The following is a 9047-nucleotide window of genomic DNA, read 5'->3' as shown; positions in this document are numbered from 1 at the left end:
CAGTGGCTAGGTTTTTTCAAAGATGGATTGGTTGACAGGGCGGCAAGGGAATAGGAAATCCTGACTGGTTGGGTTGGGGATGAAATCACAGGGGTGTTGAAACTGTCTTCTTGCATTGAGTCAGTTCCTGAGTTGGGGGTCACAGAATGAGTTGAGTCAGTTTCTTGGAATGGGTTTCCTGTTAAGGTGGCATCAGTTGTTCCACCAGAATAAAAAGTCTGAAAAATATCTCAAACCCCAGTCTTAGGTTTTACAATAGCGATATTATAAATATGGACAACTAGGAAAGTTATAAATTTTATGACCTCTGGCTACATGACTCCTAAGCAGAAAGCAAGTTAGGAACAATGACTAGTTATTATTTATGTATGCCTAGGCCTTACCAGAATTCAGGCGCCTACTAAAATTCGAACCTTATGGTCTTTCATTAGTTTTACAAAGGTAAGTTTGGTCCCATAACAAAGGGGGGGATAGTTTTGGGAAGAGATCATTATAGTTCTTGCTTTAAAGTTAAACTACAAACAAAATTTCTCTGATAGTTAGCTTGTCTTATATGCAGGATGGGCAAAGGCAGTTGGCCTGTGAGGTTAGAAGCAAGATGGAGTCAGCCATGTTAGATTTCTCTCACTGTTACAATTTTGCAAAAGTAGTTTGAAAGTCATCATTAATTGATTTATCAAGAAATGAGAAAACACAGAATTGGATGATTGGATCCAGAGAATGGATCTTGTACAAATCTATTAAATCCTATGCAATCTCTCTGATGAAGTAGCTCATTCACATGAGTTTGTGAGAGATGACTTCTAAGATAATGGTTCTGAGGTCTTAGTATACATTAGAATCTCCTTAGAGGCTTTTACATATCAAGATGCAAAGACTTTTATATCAGATGTCTTATTTAGTGAATATGTGATAAGAACTAAGAATATGAAATTTCAAAAATCTAATTGCTAAAAATTACTTTTATAAAAATGGCATAGATGATACTTTAGAACTTTAACATTATATTATACATATATATTTTTAATATCACAATAAAGATTAGTGAATCAATGATGATCCTGTATGGGTATACATCATGAGTTGGAAATGTTATAGCTGCTAGCAACCTTCTCTGTAAATACAAATATAAACAAAGTAGTGATTTATTTCTGTGTTTGAGAGAGATTTGAGGAAGACATAATAGCAACTTGCCCTCCTATTTGCTGTCAATTATCTTTAAATGTGACTTTCATCTTCTGATAAGGGGTTGATATCCAAAATAGATAAAAACTCAAACAACTCAATAGAAAAAAAAATAATTCAAATATGGGAAAAGGACCTGAATACAAATTTATCAAAAGAATATATGCATGTGGCCAAAAGATAGATAAAATAATGCTCAACATCACTAATCATTGGGAAATGCAAATGTAAACCATAAGAAGATATCAACTCATACCTAATAGAATGACTATCATCTGAAAGACAAAAAATAACAAGTGTTTGTGAGGATGGGGAGAAAACAGAACACTTATACACTGTTGATGGGAATGTAAATTAGTGCAACCATTATTTTTAAAAAAATGAAGATTTCTCAAAAAATTAAAAATAGAACTACCATGTGATACAGAAATTTGACTTCTGAGTATTTATCCAAAAAATTGAAATAAATATGTCAAAGAGACATCTATAATCTCATGTTCAATGCAGCATTACTCACAATAGCCAAAATTTGGAAGCAAACTATGCCTCCATCAACAGATAAATAAATTTTTTAAAATGTAGTATATTTACACAATTGAATACTAGTCAGCTGTTGGGAAAAAGCTGAGTGTTGGGAGAAGCTGAGGCAGGACTTGCATGTCTGACATAATGTAAAAGAGTCTTGGAATATGTCCGGGGTCCCAGGTCTAAAACCCCTTGTGGTCTTTGGAACATCAAGCTCTGTGCTAAAGGGTGGAAGGCTACCCTGACACACCATAATCTAAGCCCAGGGCATAAAATCCCTCATAGCTTGGATAGAATCCAGGGCTCATGGTTCTGGAATGTGACTAGACTTGCTGGCTCCTTGCTCCTTGCTCTCCAGGATCGATTGTATCTTGAGTTAAAAGAACCTGCTTTCCATTATCTCAAGTAGAAGAGCAAATGCTAAACCATCACAGCTGTAAATCATGTGCTTAATGCAATGCACCCTTTTGACCTCCACATTCTCACCACCTGTTTCTTTGTTGGATTACCAATAAATAGCGTGGGCTCCTAGAGCTCAGGGCCTTTGCAGCCTCCACAATCATGATGGTCCCCTGGCCTCACTTCTCTCTCTCTGTCTTTTCTCAATTCTTTGACTCCACCAGACTTCGTTGCCCCCACGACCTAGTGTTGAGTCTGATCACCCCAACAGTCAGCCTTAAAAAAAGAAAACATGAGCTTATCACCTTTTTAGTCAATTCAGGGGCTGCTCACTCTGTTTGTTTCCCCTCATCTAATGTTTCTCCTCCTCAGAGGAATTTTTAGTTTCCAGGGTAAAAGGGGAAGGAGAGGGGAGAACAGTGTAATGAGACTGACAGAGGCAGGGAAAGACAAGCAGAAAGGAAAAAGAGAGAGAGAGAGACAGACAGAAGAGAGAGAGAGAAAGGAAAAAGAGAGAGGGTAAAGAGGGAGAAAGGAAAGAGAGAGAGGAAGAGACAGAAAAGAGGAAGTCAACAAGACAGAGAGACATGAAGTCAGAGAAAGAAAGAGAAAGAGAGAAGTAGTAAAGAAAAAAAAGTGTACCCTATTCCTTTAAAAGCCAGGGTAAATTTTAAACCTATAATTGATAATTGAAGGTCTTGTCTGTGACCCTATAACACTCCAATACCACCTTGTTGTCAGTGTAAACAAGGGTGTAGCCCCAAAGCTCTTAGGCCACTGACAACCTGTACCCTTACTATCAAAAATCCTTAACCCAGTAACCTGCAGATGACCCAAGTACATTCAATCTGTAGCAACAACTGCTTTGCTAACAGAAGAAAGTATGAGGCTATTCTGTTAAAAAAAAAAATGATTCAACATTAACCAATAAAAATTCCCTTAACCCAGCAGGTTTCCTAACAGGGGATCTAAATCTTAATTACTATACAAAGGTTGGACCAGACCTAGGAGGAACTCCCTTCAGGATAGGACAATAGATGGTTCCTCCCGGGTGATTGAGGGGAAAAAGACACAATGGGTATTCAGTAAGTGATAAGGAAACTCTTGAAGAAGCAGAGTTAGGAAAATTGCCTGATAACTGGTCTGCTCAAACGTGCGAGCTATGTTCACTCAGCCAAGCTTTAAAGTACTTACAGAACCAGGAAGAAACCATCTATACCAATTCTAAGTTAATTTGGACTAAACAAGGTCTTATTAGTAGTAAAGAAAAATTGAAATCCAAAACTTACAAGGTTTTCAACAAAACTAAAGTTTGCTAAAAGTTAACAGTGTAACACGTATTATCCTAACTTCTAATCTCGTGGCCTTAGACAGTCTAGTCCACAGACATGAAGGAAGTTCAGTTTGGAAAAGAATGGTAATTATCTTGGAAAAAAAAGGGGGGGGCAGAATTTAGATAAAAAGGGATGTTATATGGTAAATTCTTGTCCTAAAATAAATTAACTCGTTGTTTTAAAAAAGGGACGTTTGCAACAAGTCAGAAAGTTGAGGCATGTCGAAGAATTGTCTGTGAAAGTCGTGAAAAAAAAGTTATAAAAGGAAATTTATGCAAGAAATGTTGTATAATTTAAAAGTAATTAGGCATCCTGAAGGTAAAACTATTGAAGAAACAGTTTATGTGCAAGATGTGTAAGGAAAGTAAAATATAGTTTTGGTAAAAGGATTATAAGGAGGCATATGTGGATTTTTACATACATTAAAAGGTTAAAATATATATTTTGTTTTAAAGTTTTAAGCAAGTTTTAAAACGTTAATTGTGAAGGAAATTCTGTGTGTAAACATATTGGCTACATTTAAAGGGGTATCATCCAGTTTTTCTGCGAACTGAACGTTAAAAGCACAACAGATTTTTCTTAAAGCACTAATCTTCTCTTTAATGAAAATTATAAAAGGTTAAAAAAAGTCTATAAAAATCTTACCTTATGGTCAGACATTAAAAATTGGATAAATATATCTACAAGGTTTTATTAAAATTAAGTTTAACATTAATGACCCACTAATATAAAGGTGAAATTTAGCTTATTTCGTATAAAAATCATACAAGAAGCATTGTCAAATATAAAATGGTGTTTGGCTTTCTTTGGTCTAAAAACTAATAATAATAGGTTCTAAAGGAAATTTCTCAGTAAGAAGGCACCAAGGACTATAAAGTTCACTGCTGATGTCCCCACATTTAAAACAAAAGGTCAATTTCTTAGAAATCATATACTTGGTTTATCCTCCACTTTCCTTTCCCTCAAAACTAAAAGTCTTTTAGCACAGGTACTACCACTTGATTTTCTGGTAAACCAGCACCAGCCTAAGGATCATGTTCTCATCAAAGGGTGAAAAGAAGGAAAACTCGAGCCAGCCTGAGAAGGACCCTACCTTGTGCTGCTAACCACTGAGACTGCTGTTTATACAGGGGAAGGGGAGGGACTCATCACACCCAAGTCAAGAAAGTGCCACCCCCTCCAGAGTCGTGGGTCATAGTCCCAGGGGAAAATCCTACCAAACTAAAGCTAAGAAAAATTTAACTCTTTCACCGATTCTATTACTTTCTTCTTTCCTTGCTCTATTGCTGACCACCTAGTTATTAACATAACCAAGTCAATTTTGCCTCAAACTATTGCATTTAATGGTTGCCTTGTTACACCCTGTAGGGACTTGCCAAGTCAAAGACAGCTCTCTACTTCAGAAAAGCCCCTCTGTCCCTCCTGACTCTCCTCAGACTGGGCATTAGTGAATTGGGACCATTTAACCAGGGAGATTTCGATAAAGACCCCAGTGTCAGCCAGGAGTCTTGGCACCCCCGAAGTAGAGCTTTTATGCTGTAATTGGTCCAACGTTCTGTGGACCACTAAAGGGCAAGAATGGACTTCCCCAACCAGTTTTTGTAATTTCCTAAAACCATTCATTCATTTTACTAAAGGGACAGCCATCCCCACTAACTGTCAGCTAAACCAGTGTAATTCTACACAGGTTATTATCTCAAACCCTCGAAGTTCTTCCCCTTTTCTAAGGCAGTTCCCTTCTTTAAGCCAGCTTTATGGTGTAGGGGCTGAGGTTTCAGGGACAAACCCTATTAGATGCTTTGAAATGCATTTCTTTGATTCCCCCACCAGCTGCAACTTCCTCTATGCCTTCTTCCAAAACCTCTCACAATGAAACAATTGCTCCTCATCCATCTAACGACAAGACCAAGATAAATATCTTAGAAGTTAAAGACTTAAAACAAACCTTTGGCAATTAAGACAGGACACCAAGATGCAAGCGCCTGGTTGGAATGGATCAAATATTCCATCTGCATGTTAAACAAAAGCAATTGTTATGCTTGTGCGCATGGCAGGCCAGAGGCCCAGATAGTCCCCTTTCCACTAGGGTTGTCCTCCAGTCGATTGGGGGTGGATTGCATGGTAACTGTTTTCCAGGATTCTACAGCCTGGGGTAACAAGTCGTGCCACACTCTCTGTCTGCTATATCTTGAAGTCCGGCACCCTGCGGGTCAGCCCCTGAGGGCCATCCAGCTTCTGTCTCCCGACACTAAGTTCACTTCGTATCTCTCTCATGACAGGGAGGAAACTTAGCATTCCTTGGAGACCTGAAGGGATGCAGTGAGCTTAAGAATTTTCTAGATCTTATCAATCAGTCAGCCCTTGTTCATCCCTGAGTGGATGTGTGGTGGTATTGTGGTGGACCTTTACTGGACACTCTGCCAAATAACTGGCGTGGCACTTGTGTTTTAGTCCAATTGGCTATCCCTTGCCTCTCACCCTGGCATTTCATCAACCAGAGGAAGGAAAAATAAGACATCATAAAGTGAGAGAAGCCCCTTATGGGTCTTTCGACTCTCATCTCTATTTAGACGCAATTGGAGTCCCACGGGGAATACCATATCAATTTAAAGCCCAAAATCAAATAGCTGCAGGATTTGAGTCAATATTTTGGTAGGTGAAAATTAATAAAAATATAGATGGAATAAACCACATCTACTACAACCAACAGTGATTTATTAACTACACTGGAGATGCTGTTAAAGGAATAGCTGAACAATTAGGGCTACTAGCCAGAGGGCTTGGGAAAATAGGACAGCCTTAAACATGATATTAGCAGAAAGAGGAGGAGTTTGCATCATGATTAAAACTCAATGTTGCACCCTCATCCCAAACAACACCGCCCCTAATGGAAGTATAACAAAGGCATTGCAAGGTCTAGCTGCTCTGTCCAATGAGTTAGCCAACAACTCAGGGGTAAATGATCCCTTTTACAGAATGGCTAGAAAAGTGGTTCGGTAAACGGAAAAGAATAATAGCCTCAATTCTTACTTCCCTTGCAGTCGTAATGGGTGTACTTATTCTTATCAGGTGCTATGTCACATCATGCATCCATGGGTTGGTACAGAGGCTCATAGGAATGGCACTTACTAAAACCTCCCTTAACTATCCTTCACCTTATCCAAAGAAGCTTGTTCTTTTGGAAAATCAAGCAGAAGAACTAAGCCAAGACATGTTTAAAAAGTTTGAAGAGAAAAATCTGTAGGAAAATGCAAGAGGAGGGATTGTTAGATGTAAGTTCTGAATTTCTCTTCAAAGAATCAATATGTCAGTGTGTTCAATTCTTTGCCGTCTACTTTTAAACTTAACTCCCTCGCAAAGCAACCTTTTTCGATTACCTACTCCACCCTGACTCATTCTGATTACCTACTCCACCCTGAATCTTTCTGATCACCTGCTCCACCCTGACTCATTCTGATCACCTGCTCCACCCTGACTCATTCGGATCACCTGCTCCACCCTGACTCATTCAGATTACCTGCTACCTGCTCCACCCTGACTCATTCTCCACCCTGCATAACCAATTATTTTTTCCCCACCAAAGCACCCACCCCAGTCACTCTTTTTAAATTAGCCAAACAGAATTAGAGTTTAGCCTGTGGGGTTTTACCCTAGCCAATAGGGGAATGACACAGCAGCAGGGGCCACATGTGTTGCAGATAAGAACCCCTCCCCCTCCCTTGTCCAAGTGTGCACTCACCATTGCTCCATCTGTGAGAGCACACCCTTCCATAGAAGTACCTTGCCTTCCTGAGAATTAAAAAGAAAATTTTATATTCAAGTGCTATTTCTTTTGCAGCACCAAAACTTTATATAAGGAAAAATACAATTATGTTTACCACTATAGTTCTGCAAATGCTGACAATTTTGAATTTTATTACAATTGATTTTGTCACTAAATTTCAGATTCTACCATTACATTATTTTGCCAATAGCTTGAGTTTTATTTCAAGTAATATAGTATTTTATTTGCCGCTTCCATGTAGATATTTGGGCCTTCAGTATGTAAATTCAGCACTTGTAAGTTAAACTTTCACTGTAGCCACGTGTGTGCTATATCTTTTCCAAGAACACAAAAAACCTTTCTACACATATGTAGAAAACTTATTTTAGTCTACCTATATGCACCATGTTTAATTACAACCAATGGAATAATTTTCCATGGGTTTTATTCATTTTTTAAATAGCTTGAATGCTAACAAATTATCTTAATGGGTAACATCTATACACATTGCAGACAAAATATTTGTGCTTAATCAAACTGAATGAACCTTTTTATTTTTTAACTCATACAGGTGAAAAAAATCTTTAAAAATTACTGATCAATGATGACTGGCTAGACCTACTATGATGTAACAAAAATTTGTCATTTATTTAACGATTATGTTGTGGAACTACCATCTTTACGAGTGCTGCTTGGCTGACACCCCCCGCCCCCTGCCAGAAGAGCTAGAAATGGTGGTGATCACTAACTCTGCCTCCCTTGTACCAGAAATATATGCATAGCTTCTTTTATTGAATTAAGAGTTACTAATCAAAAAAAGAAGATAATTGTTTCAGGGACAGTAGTAACGACCTGTAGGTTGGAGTTGACTACAGACTTTTGAGTGGCAGAGAGTGTCATCTAGAGTTTCTTAGAAGCAGCAGTTCTTTTCTATCCAAACCAGAGCTATTTTTTTTAGAGCAGTTGGGGAAGCCTAGGCTCAAACCTAGCATTTCTTGCTATTCTGAACTCTTGGCTCCTTTTCTGCTTTATCTGGCGGAATCAGCTTCTTTTACATACAACAAATAATTTATCCCATTTAAAACAGTTGCATTTTGTGATGAACCACAATGTATCATCTAAAGCACAAAAAACACTATGAAGAAAATTACCAAGTGTTTATATTTATGAATGTAGTAATCTATTAAAAACAACAAGCCTATAATTCAAATCAATGAGACATAAATTTATAGATCTTCTTTATTAAATTTATATGGGCATATCTAGTACTGTTTGCTACATCAGCCTTCTATCCTGAGATTATTGGGGAGAGATAATGTGAAGAAAAAGGGAAAATGTTCATGGAAATAATGTGTGTGAATGCATACTAAAGTGGTGGTGGTATGTATACCCAAGTTCAGATGGATATGTTTTTATTTTTCAAATGTCTACAGAATATTATTTGTCACTATAATCAATGTTTTTTAAAAATAAGAGTTTAGATTGGACACTGAAAATTCAATACATATACAAAACTGAAGTATTTATTTTTTAGCAGCTTTGTAGAATTAGGTATTCTCTTGCCTTCAGCGTCTTGTCAACCTGATTTCCTCAGCTGTTCTCTCAGAGGAAAGAGTTTTCCCTGGTATGTGTTAATTTCAGATATTTACAAAGCATCACAATGCTTTGGTGCTGATCTTGGGATTTGGTAATTAACAAGACATAGAAATTTATAGACAATCTTGACATTTGAATGTTGTAGGGAGTCATTTTATTCCACATTTTTCATATAGACTTGCTATAAGTTTATCTTCTTTTCTCACATCTCCATCCCACTTTGGCTTCGTAGAGACATTATTTGA

General features: G+C 37.6%; 1 long non-coding RNA gene across 2 annotated transcripts in view, besides 1 other annotated feature; it reads right to left on the bottom strand.

Annotated features, from left to right (window-relative positions):
• Positions 1-1531: 1531 nt before the first annotated feature.
• LINC02342 (long intergenic non-protein coding RNA 2342) overlaps positions 1532-9047 on the bottom strand; it is a 16034-nt gene continuing 8518 nt past the window's right edge. For both annotated transcript variants that reach the window (XR_942055.1, XR_942053.1), the window contains 3 exons: positions 7183-7232; positions 5389-5452; positions 1532-2385 (listed from right to left, as the gene is read on the bottom strand). This is a non-coding gene — a long non-coding RNA (long intergenic non-protein coding RNA 2342). The remainder of the gene's footprint in view (positions 2386-5388; positions 5453-7182; positions 7233-9047) is intronic.
• Positions 6296-7495: an enhancer, noted in NCBI's record as "P300/CBP strongly-dependent group 1 enhancer chr13:69462586-69463785 (GRCh37/hg19 assembly coordinates)". NCBI's record gives its function as "activates an origin of replication core promoter dependent on BRD2, BRD4, P300/CBP, MED14 and CDK7 cofactors, with strong dependence on P300/CBP, by STARR-seq in HCT116 cells {active_cell/tissue: HCT116}" and the evidence as "EXISTENCE:reporter gene assay evidence [ECO:0000049][PMID:35650434]".

The sequence above is a fragment of the Homo sapiens genome, chromosome 13 (genome assembly GCF_000001405.40).
Source record: "Homo sapiens chromosome 13, GRCh38.p14 Primary Assembly".
Taxonomy (NCBI): Eukaryota; Metazoa; Chordata; class Mammalia; order Primates; family Hominidae; genus Homo; species Homo sapiens.
Note: the sequence above shows the minus strand (reverse complement) of the source record. Positions and strands in the feature narration are given on the sequence as shown.